The sequence below is a fragment of the Homo sapiens genome, chromosome 22, assembly GCF_000001405.40.
Source record: "Homo sapiens chromosome 22, GRCh38.p14 Primary Assembly".
Classification (NCBI taxonomy): Eukaryota; Metazoa; Chordata; class Mammalia; order Primates; family Hominidae; genus Homo; species Homo sapiens.
Window position 1 is genome coordinate 42,417,341 of NC_000022.11, and position 16,111 is coordinate 42,433,451.

Below are 16,111 nucleotides of genomic sequence, written 5' to 3' on the forward strand. Positions count from 1 at the left end.
GCACCAAGGGGCCTAGAGGGCCCAGGAGCTGCTCCCAGCTGCTTTTCTGGTTATTCTCCAGGTCCCATGGGATCTGGGGCAGGCAGAGCTGGAACAGGTCCTGGGGCGCAGGGAGGAAACGTCTCAAGGAGCCCCAGGTGTTTTCTGTGCAGGGAACGGATTTGAGAACTTCCCTTCCACTTAGAGAGTTTAGGAGGATTTGAGATTTGCCCTGTGGAGAGCGGGGCCTGGAGGTGGCTGCAAGGAGCACCCCTGAGGCTCAGGGAGGGCAGAGTTGGGGCAGAGAGTGAGGAGGGGCTGGTGAGGACCTGAACTCTCCTGCCTGGCCTGCCCTGCTGCAGGGGCAGGGAGTTTGGCCCAGGGGGAGTTTTCTGAACAGGAGCTTCTTGAACCTGCTGAATGTGGATAGGATGGTGCAGGGAGAGGGGAGAGGGCACCCATAGTGAGGACCATGGGGGAGGAGGGGTGGAGCAGGAGGGCAGCAGGGCCATCAGAGGCAGGGTTGCCACACGGTGTCTGGGAGGGCCCCCGCCCCGTCCCCGGGCTTGGCTGTTTGTTTTGAGTCTTCAACTCCTCTCCTGTGCCTCCCCACCCCCACAGAACTGCAAGCGCAGACATCTCATCTGGGCAGCGCCGTGGATCCCTGCTTAGTCTGCCCACCCTGCTTTACAGGAGACTGTGTTTTGGGGGGTGACACACCCTCCATCCCTCACTTCTCTGCAGCTCCAGGGAAGTCCCTCCCACACTGTGAGGAAGCCTTGGGCCTGGCCAGAAATAGGGGCGATGAGCGGGGGCGTTTGGGAAAAGCCCAGGTTCTGGAGGCAACAGGCCTGGATGCGGCTCCTGGCTCTGCCACTTCAAGGCTGTGCAACTTGGGCAGCTGGCTTTACTTCTCTGACCTCAGTGTCTCCCCACAACACAGGGGGAGCAACAATGCCAGCCTTAAGGGGTTGTGGTGGGATTAATTGGGACCTGGAACCCAGCTACTTGCCACGGGCCAGGCTGCCTTTCCCCAGGGACAAGAATGAGACAGGGAGTCCTCCTTGGGGATCTACAAAGGCAAATCCCAGCTGGGTGTGGTGGCTCATGCCTATTAACCCCAGCACTTTGGGAGGCCGAGGCAGGCAGATCACATGAGGTCAGAAGTTCAAGACCAGCCTGGCCAACATGGTGAAACCCCTTCTATACTAAAAATACAAAAAAGTATCTGGGTGTAGTGGCACAAGCCTATAGTCTCAGATACTTGGGAGGGTAAGGCAAGAGAATCGCTTGAACCCAGGAGGCGGAGATTGCAGTGAGCCGAGATCGCACTGCTACACTCCAGCCTGGGTGACAAGAGCTATCTCTGTTTTTTTTTTTTTTAAAAGGCAAATGCCAGCCCTATACCCTTCTGCCGGGTTAAATGACATGCCCTCAGTGCAGGGCACATAGGCCCTGATGGTCCAGGCACAGAAGGACCCCCAGGGGTCTTTCCCTGACCCAGACTTGGGCACTGTCCCTGTCCCGGGCGCTGGCCTGGCCTGGCTGAAGGCCCCTCAGGGGTGTGGTGTGTGCAGGGCTGGGGGCATGAACAGCCCTCTGCCTTCAGCCTCCAGCTGCTCTTCTCCCACCCTTGTTGGGAAAGAGTTTGTCAACCGCCCACGGGTGCCTGAGTCCTTCCTTTTCCGGTTCTTCTTATGAATCTGTGGCTGCTTGAACTTGGAGTTTGAGAGCTGGGCGGAGTTGCTATCCTCCCACACCTGGCGCGGGGACCACATGCCGAGTGAGTCCCTGGCGGGGTGTGCCCCCACGTGTTTGTGTGCCCACCTGGCAGCTTTCCTGTGGATCACTGATGTTCAGGATCAGACCTGCCCACCACCTGCACAACGCCCCCATCCCTCCAACTCAACAGCTCCCATCCAGTCCCCTCTCCTGCCCAACCAGGGCTGTCTCTGTGGCTCTGAGTCCCCAGCGATCCACAAACTCATCCTGCTCCTGCCCTGCCTGAACCGGCAGGGGCTCCCTGCTGGAGGAGACCCAGGAAGGAGTCTGAAATCAATTTACGGGGTCAAGACAAGCAATTAAAAAAAATAGAACATGAAGCATTTCATGCGTAGTAAGGGCACTGTTTGCGACCTTCTAGTTTCAGTTATATTCATACAATTGGGTTCAGACAGGGTCACGCTAAAACATGCATCTCTTAACTTTGGGCCACTGCTAAGAAAAATGGAAAGTCCCTGGCTTGGAGGATCCAGTTCTTGCCTCCCAGGACCTGCACAGCCCCGCTCAGCTGCTCTCTGGCCCTCACTCGCCCACTCCTGCGTAGACGTCAGCCTGCCACACTCCGGCGCCTTCGCCCGTGCTGTTCCGGCTGTGCGGAATGTCCTACCCATTCCTTCCTCTCCTGGGCTTTGGGGTCCCCCTCTGTCTCCAGGACATGCTCACTTCCTCCCTGAGCCACTCCTGGGTGTCTGGCTGCCCCGCACAGCACAGACTCTCAGGCGTCACTGTTAAGCCATGTGATCAGAAGAGCCAATGTCCCCTGGGTTTGGTTTCACCTTTTGCAGATGACAAAACTGAGGCTCAGAGAAGGCAAGAGGTTTGCCCAAATTGCAGTGGTAGACATGGGATTTTAAGCTGGGTCCCTTTGAGTCTGTAATCCCACTCTTGGTTTTTTTTTTTTTTTTTTTTTTTTTTTTTTTTTTTTCTGAGGCAGAATTTTGCTCTTGTACCCAGGCTCGAGTGAAATGGCACGATCTCGGCTCACTACAACCTCCACCTCCCCGGTTCAAGCAATTCTCCTGCCTCAGCTTCCCAAGTTGCTAGGATTACAGGCATGCGCCACCTCGCCTGGCTAATTTTGTATTTTTAGTAGAGGTGGGGTTTCACCATGTTGGCCAGGCTAGTCTCGAACTCCTGAACTTGGGTGATTTCTTGAGCTCAGGACTTTAAGATCAGCCTGCAGAATATAGTGAGACCCCATCTCTACTCAATAAATAAATAAATTAGCCAGGCATGATGGCATGCCTGTAGTCCTAGCTACTCAGGAGGCTGAGGCAGGAGGATCACCTGAGCCTGGGAGTTCGAAGCTGCAATGAATTATGATCATGCCACTGCACTCCAGCCTGGGTGACAAAGAGAGACCCTCTCTCAAAAAACAAACAGGCTGGGTGCAGTGGGTCACGCCTGTAATCCCAGCACTTTGGGAGGCCAAGGCAGGTGGATCACTAGAGGTCAGGAGTTCAAGACCAGCCTGGCCAACACGGTGAAACACTGTCTCTACTAAAAATACAAAAATTAGCCGGGTATGGTGGCAGGCGCCTGTGATCCCAGCTACTCGGGAGGCTGAGGCAAGAGAATCGCTTGAACCCAGAAGGCAGAGGTTGCAGTGAGCCGAGATCACGCACGCCACTGCACTCCAGCCTGTGTGACAGAGCGAGACTCTGTCACAAACAAACAAACAAACAAACTCCTCAAAGCAAGAAAAGAAAACATTCTCAAAGGAAAGAAATATACTTCTTTAAAGGGAGTCAAAAATTCAGAGGCTGTTTCCTTAAACTTGGGTCATCTAATAGGTAGACAGGGCCAGCAATAGGTAGGGGCCTGGGGACAATGGTAGTCAGAAATGGCCCTGCAGCACTGGGGGACTGTTATTGTCACCTCAGCTCAAGCACAGCCTGTGGCTCCCAAAACAGGAGTGACCCCCGAGCCCTCTACAGGCTGGCCCTGTGACAAAGCCAGTGCTGCAGAGGGCCAGATGGCATCCCTGTTCTGCAGCAGGGGCGGACATTTTGGGAAAGGAATGCACCGTGGAAAACTTGGTATGCTCTTATTGAAAATGCTCCCATGGGCTAGGCGCAGTGGCTCACGCCTGTAATCCCAGCACTCTGGGAGCGTGAGGTGGGTGGATCTCCTGAGGTCAGGAGTTTGAGACCAGCCTGGCCAACATGGTGAAACCCCGTCTCTGTTAAAAATACAAAAATTAGCCAGGTGTGGTGGGGTGGTGGGCACCTGTAATCCCAGCTACTCGGGAGGCTGAGGCAGGAACCTGGGAGGCAGAGGTTGCGGTGAGCCGAGATCGCATCATTGCACTCCAGCCTGGGCAGTAAGAGTGAAACTCTGTCTCAAAAAAAAAAAAAAAAGAAAAGAAAAAGAGAAGAAAAGAAGAAAATGCTTCTGTGGCTTCCTCTCACCCCCAGAATCTGCCACCCACAATCTCCCCCGTCCCTCACACTCTGCTCCAGCTGCTGAGGCTCCTCCCACCACCAAGTCATGGGCCAGGGCTTTGGTCCCGGCTCCCCACTGCATGGAACTCAATCCCTTCTATGGCATCAAGCGCGCGTTGTCAGTCAAGGGCGTGAGGACCCAGACAACGCTGATCAAAGGTATCCATCCCAAGTTAGGTCGATTTTAAAGGAAAACACTTTGATTCCCCAGGTACAGAAGAAAGCAGTTCCCACAGTCTTTATTTTAGGCATGGGGTTTGCCCTCCAATTTAATTCTGGCATCTCTCAGAGCTGTGCCTTTTTAAAGGCCCATCTGAAAGGCTGCGATCGGGGCTCTCAGAGCCCCAGCCATGTGCCTGAGCACAAATCCCAGGATGCCACAGATGAGCAAGCGGGCAGGACACAGGCATCAAATGCAAAAGCGTGTGGCCAAGTGGCTGGTGAGGGAGGGGCATTTTGCAGGACTTGGAAGACAACCTTTGAACAGAGACTATTTCGGAGCTTTTAGCACCGTTGCCTTTGGAATGGCGCCATCGGACAGGTTGTCACATCTTTCAACACCTCCAAATTACAAAGATGCCTCAAGACGTGGCCATTTCCACAGCCCATCCATGGCTCATTTTCATGCCTCTAGACCCCCGAACCAGGGTGTACGGTGGCCGCTCGGGGACACAAACCAAGTGCAGAACGTCCAAGGTTTGAATCGGGAATAAGCCTCACAAGGGTCAATCAGTGTCTTTACAGCAGTTGCCTCCTTTTTGCCTGTTTTGAAAGTCAAGGCCGGGCGCAGGTGCTCACGCCTGTAATCCCAGCACTTTGGGAAGCTGAGGCGGGCGGATCATCTGAGGTCAGTAGTTCGAGACCAGACTGGCCAACATGGTGAAACCCCATCTCTACTAAAAATACAAAATTTAGCTGGGCATGGTGGCACGCACCTGTAGCCCCAGCTACTCAGGAGGCTGGGCAGGAGAATCGCTTGAACCCGGGAGGTGGAGGGTGAGCCGAGACCGCGCCACTACACTCCAGCCTGGGTGACAGAGTGAGACTCTGTCTCAAAACAAAAACAAAAAAAGAAGGTCAAAAAAAGGTCAAGTCGCTCCAACTTTGGAGCTCATTTGAGAGTGTGGTCTGGGTCATCAGGGGACTCAGCCTCTCCTTTTATAGCCACCCCTGTACCCTCAAAGGGGCATCAGGATGGTGTGGAAGGTGGCAATAGGGCCAAAAGGGTGAGGTTGGGTCTGCTTCTTGTCTCTGAATTGGAGTGGGCAAAATGAAGTGAGGGGAACAGGCTGGGCGTGGTGGCTCACGCCTGTAATCCTAGCACTTTGGGAGGCCGAGGCGGGTGGATCACGAGGTCAAGAGTTTGAGACCAGCGTGGTCAAGATGGTGAAACCCTGTCTCTACTAAAAATACAAACATTAGCTGTGCGTGGTGGCGGGCGCCTGTAATCCCAGCTACTTGGGAGGCTGAGGCATGAGAATCACTTGAACCTGCGAGGCAGAGATTGCAGTGAGCCAAGATCTCGCCACTGCACTCCAGGCTAGGCGACAGAGCAAGACTCCATCTCAAAAAAAAAAAAAAAAGGAAATGAAGTGAGGGGAACAGACCCCCCAGAGAGTGCCTCCTTCAGCAGGGAGTGTTTGTTCACCCAAAGTCTCACCAAGGAGGGCCAGGCCCTGCCACCAGGAAGGGAGCTGACAGATGGAGACAGAAAGAGGTGGGAGAAAGGAAAGACTGTGGGCTGCAGGAGTCCAGACAGGGGGGCCCATCTCAGCCTGGGAGGGGCAAGGGGTTCCTGGGAAGGCAACTCTTGGAGTGTGGGTCATTATTTGGTTTTTAAATTAGAATTCTTTAGGTACCCCTACCACCTCCCAGTAACAGAGTGAAACATGTTCACTGTAGAAATTCTAAAAATGCCCAGCATTTTCGGAGGCCAAGGTGGGAGGATTACTTGACCTCAGGAATTCAAGGCCAGTCTGGGCAACATAGCAAGACCCCATTTCTGAAATAAATAAATAAATAAAATTAGCTGGGCAAGGTAGCAGTGCCTGCAGTTCCAGCTACTCTGGAAGCTGAGGTGGGAGGACCACTTGAGTCCAGGAGTTTGAGGCTGCAGTGAGCCATGACTGTATCACCTCAGTCCAGCCTGGGTGACAGTATGAAACCCCATCCCTCTTTTCTTTTTTTTTTTTTGAGATGGAGTCTCACCTTGTTGCCCAGGCTGGAGTGCAGTGGCATGATCTCAGCTCACTGCAATCTCTGCCTCCCAGGTTCAAGAGATTCTCCTGCCTCAGCCTCCTGAGTTGCTGGGATTACAGGCATGTGCCACCACACCCAGCTAGTTTTTGTATTTTAGTAGAGGGAGGGTTTCACCAGGTTGGCCAGGCTGGTCTTGAACTCCTGACCTCATGACCTCACCATGTTGGCCAGTCTCAAACTCCTGACCTCATGACCTCACCATGCTGGTCTCAAACTCCTGTTCACTGAGGCAGTGATCTGCCTGACTCGGCCTCCCAAAGTGCTGGGATTACAGATGTGAGCCATCACACTGGCTGAGACCCCATCTCTTTAAAAAAAAACAAACACATGGCTGGGCGCGGTGGCTCATGCCTGTAATCCCAGCACTTTGGGAGGCCAAGGCGGGCGGATCACAACGTCAGGAGATTGAGACCATCCTGGCTAACACGGTGAAACCCCACCTTTACTAAAAATACAAAAAATTAGACGAGCATGGTGGCAGGCGCCTGTAGTCCCAGCTACTCGGGAGGCTGAGGCAGGAGAATGGCGTGAACCAGGGAGGCAGAGCTTGCGATGAACCGAGATTGTGCCACTGCACTCCAGCCTAGGGGATAGAGCGAGACTCCGTCTCAAAAAAGAAACAAAAAAAGAAACACAAAAAACATACAAACAACAAGAAAAAGAAATTCTAGAAATGACAACAAAATCTCAAGAAGCAAGCCGAACTTGTTCAGCTGAACAGTTCTGCCACCCGACCTCACAGCTGAGTATCTTGCTATCTTTCTTCCCATCCCTTTACGAAGCTGAACTTGGAAGGAAGAGAAGAGCAGGAGGCAGACAGTTGGGGGAGGGGTGTGGAGAGAGGTTTCAAACGCAAGAAAGTTCTCGGGTAAAGCTTCTCAAATTCTTGAAATGGGCACTGTGCCTTGGTGGAGTTGGAAGGAATGATTTGTGTCTGGGAGGGGGGTACAAGGGGATGCCTCAGAGGTGGGGAGCAGCTTGAACACTGCCCTGGAAACCTAGTGGAGCCTGTGAGGGCTTTTAAATTGGAAAGTGACATGATCATCTTCCTTCCTTCCTCCCTCCTTCCCTCCCTCTCTCTTTCTTTCCTTTCTTTCTTTCTTTTCGTATTTATTTATTTATTTATTTATTTTCTGAGATGGAGTCTTGCTCTGTCGCCCAGGCTGGAGTGCAGTGGTGCAATCCCGTCTCACAGCAAACTCTACCTCCCAGGTTCAAACAATTCTCCTGACTCAGCCTCCCCAGTAGCTGGAATTACAGGTGCATGCCACCATGCCTGGCTAATTTTTTGTATTTTTGGTGAAGAAGGGGTTTCACCATGTTGGCCAGGCTGGTCTCGAACTCCTGACCTCAGGTGATCCACAAACCTCGGCCCCCCAAAGTGCGGGATTACAGGTGTGAGCCACTGTGCCTGGCCCATATTTGCATTTTAGAACAAGGACAAGAGAAATACTAGAATTCCAGTCTCCCTCAGCCTTTGAAACCCTGCCTCGCATTAGTGATTCCTTCTGTGGGATCTGTTGCACTCTTGCTCTCGGCCTCCTTTTAAAATATATATGCTTCTGGCTGTTAACACACTAACTCCTTCCCCTGGACAACTTGGCTAGCTCACTTTTATCCTGACTTCTCTTAAATCTCTACCTCCCACAAGATCCCTCGCCCTCCAGGCACACAACCTCTCCAGGCCTCCATCCTTCCCTCTGTCCTCCCCTCCTTACCCTTCCACTTCCTCCACCCTGCCAGCTCCCTCCTTCCCTCCCTGTCTGCCGCCTCCTGCCCGCCACAGGATGCTTTCAGCTGGCTGGCTCCGCTGCCACCAAGGAGGTCAGCAAAGATGCTGGTGGGTCCTGAGGCTTCTGGCCTTGACCATGACCCTGCAGACCCTCTCTCTTTGACCTTCCCTCCTCTTCCCCTCCACGCCCAGCCTTCCTGAGCCCGCGTACTCTCTCTGCACTGTCCCTGGCTTTTCTCACACAGCCTGCCTCTTAAAGTTGGATGCTTGTTCCTTGGCTCTGCCCACAGCCTCACGTGCCTCAGGCGAGCTCAGTCATGCCCCACATGCCTCTGAGCGCCTGTGTGCTCGGGATCACAGATGAACACCTTGGGGGAGAGGGAGGGGAACTGGGTTTGTTCAGGGTGGGGAAGGGGCCAGAGGGGGTACTACAGAAGAGCCTATGAGTTTGACCTTGACAGAGAGTTTGGATGTCACCAGGTGGGCAAGTGAGAGGATACCCTCCAGACCCAGGGAGCAGTGTAGAAAGAAGCAAAGGTTCAGGGGAGTGGGTGTGGCTGGCTTCTTCAGGGGATGGGAGTCCTCTGCCTCCGGCCAACCTCAAAGGTGGGAGTGGCCATAAGGAGCAGGCACCCAGGAAGAAGGGGTGGCCGAGGGATGGGGAGGGTCTTATCTGAATACACCAGGGTTAGGGGCCTGCTGAGGGCAGTGAGGCTGTTTGCGGTTATGCTCTGTGGACCTCTGGCCCCTGGCCCACCAGCAGCAAGCAAAGATCTGGCCCAGGCCCTGCCCCTCCTCCACCTCAGCACCTGCAATGGGGTGCGTGGGGAGCAGAAACAGCCAGGGTCAGCATTCCACCTCCTCTGGCTCTTCTCGGCACCCTGCACAGCCTCCAAGCCCTAGAATGAAGCCCCCAGGTGCAGCCACTCATCAAATAGACCCTCAGCAGCCAAGCACATCCAAGTCCCAGCCAAGACTCTGCAGCCCCTCCTCTGTGCTTGGCCTGGTGCTGGACTCGGCCTCAGAGAACCGGCTCAGGTGGGGCCTGGCCCTCCAGGCCCTCTGTTTTGGCAAAGGCGCCATCAGGGCTCTGGCCTGAGTGCACCCTGGGACAGTGAATCACCCCTGCCTACAGGGGGACTGGGGAGGCCATGGTGAGCCCCTTGGCCTGCAAGGACCTGAGTCTCAGGGTGCAGAGGAATAGGTGGGGCCAGTGGCTGGGCCCAGAGAAGCCTGGTGGGCAGGACCCCCACGATCCACGACCCATGACTCACGACCGAAGATGAGCACTGAGTCCCCTCCCTCACTGTGCCCTCGAGCCCTGTCCCTAGGGCCAAAGCCTCACAGACCCTCCCTGAGGGGTCCCAGGTGCCACGCCCTGAGGCCATCATGGTACTGGATGTACCTTCCTATTGCTGTCTGGGAGGATGCTGAGCACCCAGGCGGGGGGGCTCGTGGAGGTTCAGCGTACTCCAGAGACTTGGCCAAAGGCTCCCAGGACCCAAATCCAGCCTGCTCAGACCTTACCAGGAGCCCAGGCGCCCCACTTGCCAATCTCATGTCCATACCCCTCCCCTCCCTCTCACCAGGCTCACCCCGTCCCTTTCTCTGGTTTCAGCCCCATCTGGGTCCTGTTGCCCACGTCCCCACTAGGGTATGGCCTTGCTTAGATCCACAAGGAGCAAGCAGAGGGTCAGATCCTGCCTCCGGGTCCACATTTCCCCAGGATGCCTGTGTCCTCCCTCCCATTCACTACACAGGGGGTCTCATTACCCTACCAACGCTGGAGAGGAGCCAGGGCTCAGGGAGGGCAGAGGAAGGGCAGAGGACGACTACCCAGCCCTTCCATCTCCTCCCCCAGGCGCCCCTCCTGTGGCATCGCGTCTCCACCCTGCTCAGAGCTTAATTCATCCTTGATTGTCACCATTTCCTGAGCATCTGCTGGGTGCTGGTCCCGTGCTGGGAGTCAAGGATTAGAAGCCACATGAGTCCGCACAGTACCTTTTGATTTTTTCAACCACTTAAAAATATAAAAACCATTCATAACTCACAAGCCATACAAGAGGCAGTGGGCTGGGTTTAGCCCACCGGCCGTGGTTTCAACTCTTGCTCTATCTATAGCAACAAAACGAACTTCAGCCATATCGTGGACTGGATCTATCTTAAAAAACATAATGCTCAGTGAAAGAAGCGGGTCACCGGAGAATACACACAGTATCCTTCAATTACACAAAGTTCACAAACAGGCAAAGCTAGTCCATATGGTTTCGGGATGTGTACTAATGATAAAACTACAAAGAAATGCCAGTAAGTGATCCCCCCACAAGCTGGGATGGGGGTACCTTTGGTGGGGCACGGAGCGGGGCAGTGTCTGTGGGGCGAGGGGAGTAGAAGGGGCTCTGAGGCACTGGGATGTTCTCATTCTTGACCTGGTGAGAGTCACACAGGACTTTGTTTTCTAGTGCTTACCACGCAGCACTGCGGTTTTTGTGCGATAGTTCACCATGACAGAGGAGACAGCAGTGAGACAGGACCCGCTGGGAGTGTGCCCGGACCCCTACCTGAGGGGCATTTGTGATCCACCCAACCACAATCTGCATCCCACTCCTGTGTCAGACTTCCCCTGCCGTCAAGCTGAGCCTCTCCCGGCCCTCCTGGCCCTGCCTTTTGGGCTCTCAGCCCTCATTCCCTCAGCCACCTCCCGCTCTGTCCCCACTCCGCGGGCAGCCTTTCCAGCACTCCCCTGCCTCTCCCCGCCCACCTCTGCCTGTGCCTCGAAAGTCCTTTATTGGGATTTAGACAAAGATGAAAAACAGAGGCTACTCCTGACAGAGGTCCGGAGCGGCGGGAAGGGAGGCAGGAGGTCTCAGCCGGGAGCAGGCAGGGGCTCCTGAACATCTTTTTTTATTATTATTACTTTTTTGAGACAGAGTCCTGCTCTGTCACCCAGGCTGGAGTTCAGTGGCACGATCTCAGCTCAGTGCAGCCTCTGCCTCCCAGGTTCAAGCAATTCTCCTGCCTCAGCCTCCTGAGTAGCTGGGATTACAGGCGCACACCACCTGGATCCAGAACAAACTTGTCTGGTAACTCCGGCCAAGGCTCACGGTCCCACCAGGCTGAGAGTGGGGCCTATGGCTTGTTCACGTCTGGGTCCCTCTGGTGCCTAGAACCGGTCCTTTTCAATGGATATGTGAGAAATAAATACAGCCCAGAGTTCTGGAAAGGCCACAGAGAGGGGACTGACATTTGCAGAGGACACTAAGGTGCAGAGAGGTTAAGTAATTGCCTGAGGTCACACAGCTGTCACCAGAAGAAGGCAGGCCTGGAACTCAGGTCTGTCCAGCCCCAAAGTCCTTGGGGAGGACTGAGGCCCATGGAAGCTGAGTTGCAGCTGCTCCTGGAAAAGCCAAGCCCCCAGCAATTCCTGTCTTGGGGAGACCACCAGTGGCTGCCTTTGAGAAAAGCAGGCTTTGCAGAGGGGTCAAGAAGCCAGAGGACAGGCCCAAGTCCCGGCTCAAGTGGGAGGAGGAGGATGGCTGGGAGCAGGAGCAGGTACCCAGGATGAGCTGGAGGCCGTGGGCTCACCAACTGCACCTCAAGTTTCCATGGCTCTGGCGAGGCTGGCAGGTGGCTGACACTCACTGAGGACTAATGACATACTGGGCACTCAGTCCTCAGGATGTGTTTAGGCAGGCAGTGTTATCACATCCATTTAACAGAGGAGACAATTGAGGCATAGCGATAGAAGTAATCTGCCCAGGGTGCCTGGGCAAGTAGCAGAGCTCAAATTCAAACTGGGCCGGGTGCGGTGGCTCACGCCTGTAATCCCAGCACTTTGGGAGGCCAAGGTGGGGGGATCACCTGAGGTCAGGAGTTCGAGACCAGCCTGGCCAACACGGTGAAAACCTGACTCTACTAAAAATACAGAAATTAGCCAGGCATGGTGGTGGGTGCCTGCAATCCCAGCTACTCAGGAGGCTGAGGCAGGAGAATCGCTTGAACCTGGGAGGCGGAGGTTGCAGTAAGCCGAGATGGTGCCACTGCACTCCAGCCTGGGCAACAGAGCGAGACTCCGTCTCAAAATAAATAAATAAATAAAAAATCAAACTGAAGATGAATGCCCCTGGCCTGTACTCCTAAGCCAGCATCCTCTCGCAAGTTCAGGGATACGATGCAGAATCAGGGACGCTGGCCTTCAGTGACACCCCTGTGGACACAGCTGAGGGATGCAAGCTGGGTTGGTACTGACAGGTGGCAGAGCTGGTTGCACCAGGCTGATGGTTAAGGCTGATGGTTACGGTCAGGGGAGGTTTGGAAGATGTGGGAGGGGCAAGATTCCTTCCAGCAAACCCTCAAAGCTCTGAGACGAGAAGGCAGGGGTGTGACATGGAGTGACAGATAGATGAAGGGGGATGCACAGGGGTAGGACAAAGAGCGGGTTGGGGGTTGGGCACAGTGGCTCACGCCTGTAATCCCAGCACTTTGGGAGGCCAAGGCGGGTGGATCACCTGAGGTCAGGAGTTCGAGACCAGCCTGGGCAACACTGTGAGTCTCTATCTCTACGAAAAAATTTAAAAAATAGCTGGGTGTGGTGGCACACGCTGTGGTTCCAGTTATTCGGGAGGCTGAGGTGGGAGGATCATTTGAGTGAGGGAGGCAGAGGTTGTAGTGAGCTGAGATTGCACCACTGCACTCCAGCCTGGTGGACGGAGCGAGACCCTGTCTCAAAAAAATAAAAACAGGACGGGCACAGTGGCTCACGCCTGTAATCCCAGCACTTTGGGAGGCTGAGGCGGGCAGATCACCTGCGGTCAGGAGTTCAAGACCAGCCTGGCCAACATGGCAAAACTCTGTCTCTACTAAAAATACAAAAATTAGCTGGGCATGGTGGTGGGCACCTGTAGTGCCAGCTACTCGTGAGGCTGAGGCAGGAGAATCACTTGAACCCAGGAGGCAGAGGTTGCCGTGAACCAAGATGGCGCCATTGCACTTCAGCCTGAGTGACAAGAGTGAAACTCTCAAAAAAAAAAAAAAAAAAAAAAATCATGGGTGGGGGTTTGTCTGCTGCTCCAAGGGACTCTAGGACACCGTAAGGGTGTTTTCACCTCTTGTGAAAGAACAGTTTCTCTTTTATGTAATGTTTGTTGCAATACCGGGTGGGAGGGGGTGGCACTGGGAATGTTTTGTTATAGTTGAGACTGTTACAAAAGAGCTTTTCCCCAGTAGCACCCCATAAAACCTCTTACTGCTCGGTTACCAGGGTGTGCTGGGTGTCTTTTGGGGAGGAGGAACCACACAAAGGGAAAGGATGGGAATTGGGGGGAAATTAAATTAAAAATGACTGTAGTTGAGACACATTGACACTAACAGGCTGCATTTCCGGGGTCTGGCCGTGTTTGCACCAACTGTCTGGGGTGTGGGGCGAGGCGTGCACAGGATTAAAGGAGATGGTGTCCTAGGGCTCTGGGCTGCAGCCTGGGGAGGTACACACAGGTCAGCCTTTGCCTCCCCAGGGTAAGTTTCCGGTGAAGAACATTCTTTACAAGTAAGAGGATCCTCTGAGCCTACTGGCCGAGGGGCCCAGCTTGGGGCTGAGGCTGGCCTGGGGCTGAGGCTGGCCTCTACTTACCGGCTAGGTCTTGAGCAAACGAACTGGCTTCCCTGGGCCTCCTTTTCCCTGTCCTTAAAATGGTGCAGGTGAGGACAATAGGAGCCCCAAGGGGTGCTGTGAGGGTGGCCAGTACGTGCCCTGCTAAGGGCTCCATAAAGCCTAATTTGTGGTCATGAGAGGGGGTGCAGCAGGACAGGGTGGGGGCAGCTCTTGAAAGCCCCATAAACTAAGAGAATAGAAAGGAAGGCACCCTGTCTCCACAGTGGAGGCCACCCCTTTGGCCAGAGGGAGGGTTGGCTGCTGCCCGGCCAAGGAGGGGCAGAGAGAATCTGGCAGAATTCACTGAGCCCTCGTGCTGGCAGCCCTGGAATGGGACCCTCCTGGGCCGTCCCTGGCCTGATGAACTGGCCCTGAGGCTACCTACCCCACAGCTTGGCTCGGATCCCGGCCACCCAGCTTCCAAGAAAGCCTGGAACCAGGAAAGGAGCGCCGCTGGCGTGGAAAGACACACTTGCATCCTAAAACACTTGGCCTCTGGTTGTGTTTCAGGAACTGGGAGGTGAGACCCTTTCTGGTGACTGACAGTTTTGTGCCTCTGGGCGCAGAGCCCTGTGGCTGGCCCTGGTATCCCCCCCTCCCCCCTCTCCCCGCTCTCCCTGGCCAATGCCAGCAACAACCCAGAGGGTAGCCCCACCACTTGCCAGGTTCAACGCAGTGTCCCCCGCAGCAGCCACGTGAGGTTCCTCGGATGGGGAGCTGTCCCTCCCCCCTGCCCCGCCCCTGGCCCCAGCCACACAGCGCCCACCCTCCTTGTTTAAGGGCCAGGAGGCCAGACTGCTGGGGCAAAGCTGTCACAGCAGCGAGGGAGAGAGCGCTGTCCCCCTCCCCTTCAAAAGCCACCTTGGCAAGGCATTAGCTAAACATCTTCTCGGTCCCAGAAGGCTTCCCCTGTGAAGTCTGCAGCGTTCAAACGACAACCAGCAAATCCCCAGAGACAGGTCCCTGGGAATTAGCTGCGCCGGGCGGGATGAAAGCCGCTCTGATGTTCTGGAGCGAGAGAGTAGAGAGAAGGAGGAAGACAGACACTACCTGCCAGTCGCAGGGTCCCGGGCAGCAGCAGCACGCCAAGGAGGAGCCAGGGGGCTGCGGGGAGCCCAGGAGGGCGTGGGAGGCCTGGCAGGGCCCGCCACCTCACAGGCTGGTTCTCCATCTGGGGGCCTGCTTGTCTGCGGCGACTCTTTAGTTCACAGGAGGGGACGGCCGGCGCTGACAGCTTCCCCTTTGCTTTCCCCACGAAGCTCCTCCCTGGCAGCCCCTGACCTTCCGCTCAGAAGCAAAGCTGGAACAGCCCAGCAGGGTGGCCGCCAGATGAGGAACCTGGCACTGAGACTGGTCCAGGCCACACAACCAGAAGAAGAGCTGGAGACGGGACCCAAGCCTCCCCACTCCAACCCCTGGTGGGCTTCACCCTGTCTCGGCCCCTTTCCAGCAGGGGCCCCGTCCAGGAGACACTGGTAACTGTGCAGAGGGATCATGGGATTTCCATGAGTGACTTCGGGCCTTGGTTTAGCCTCTCACTTCTGAAACACTTTTAAAACGACCACAAGCATGTTCACACAAACTTCTCTAAAATATTCTGAGAATCCCTTAATAATGTGTTTACCAAAGGTAGGTTTTTTGGTGAGGGGTGGTAGGGAGGCTGGGGTGAAGGGCAGGAGCCTCATGTTCCCAGCCCTAGAGAGGGCCAAACACCCAGGGCAGGTGAAAGGCAGGCTGCCCATCATTCACCCAGCGAGAACCTCTGTGGGTCCCCTGCAGAGGCCCAGGAGACGCCTCCTCTCTGGTCCATCTCTAACGTCAGCTCCTCCCTGTGGCTGCCCTAAAGCTTAGCTCACTCGGCCTCCCAACTGTGAGACCCTCGAACTGCTTCCCCATTGGCTGCAGGTCACAGCCCCTGCTCTCACTTCTAGCAGCATCAGCCGGGGACAGGAATTGTTTGCTGCCGGGACCCCCTTCCCCAGCAGACTGGGAGCCCCTCACCCTTGGCACCCACACATCTGCCTGCGTGTCTGGAGTGGCAGAGGAAAGGGGCTGGGGTGTGGTGATGGCTGGTGGAGCTGGAGGCACCTGGTACATGGAAGACGCAGGCGGGAAGGTGGCTGAGTTTCAGCGCATGCTGAGCGCTTACCTCCCTTCTCTGCAGGTGTCCCTTCACTCACCAGATAAATGTGATGATCCCAGTTGTACAAAAGAGAAGACCTCGGCCCCAGGAGGCAAAACAACATGCCTAGGATCAGGGCAGGT

General features: G+C 55.2%; 1 protein-coding gene across 3 annotated transcripts in view, besides 2 other annotated features; it reads right to left on the reverse strand.

The window, feature by feature from the left end:
• NFAM1 (NFAT activating protein with ITAM motif 1) overlaps positions 1-16,111 on the reverse strand; it is a 57,580-nt gene that overhangs the window by 36,934 nt on the left and 4,535 nt on the right. For 2 of the 3 annotated variants that reach the window (NM_001318323.3, NM_145912.8), the window contains exon 1: positions 14,897-15,063. The exons of the other annotated variant lie outside the window; for it this stretch is intronic. In NM_001318323.3, the coding sequence (NP_001305252.1) occupies positions 14,897-15,017 (121 nt within the window). In that variant the 5' untranslated portion in view covers positions 15,018-15,063. Of the gene's footprint in view, positions 1-14,896; positions 15,064-16,111 lie in introns of those variants that run through there. 3 annotated transcript variants of the gene reach the window in all.
• Positions 2,043-2,162: an enhancer, noted in NCBI's record as "active region_19162". NCBI's record gives its function as "activates an Ori minimal core promoter by ATAC-STARR-seq in GM12878 lymphoblastoid cells {active_cell/tissue: GM12878}" and the evidence as "EXISTENCE:reporter gene assay evidence [ECO:0000049][PMID:35858748]".
• Positions 7,850-8,433: an enhancer, noted in NCBI's record as "H3K4me1 hESC enhancer chr22:42821196-42821779 (GRCh37/hg19 assembly coordinates)". NCBI's record gives its function as "activates a minimal SCP1, AML or CMV promoter by ChIP-STARR-seq in primed H9 embryonic stem cells {active_cell/tissue: H9 hESC(primed)}" and the evidence as "EXISTENCE:reporter gene assay evidence [ECO:0000049][PMID:30033119]".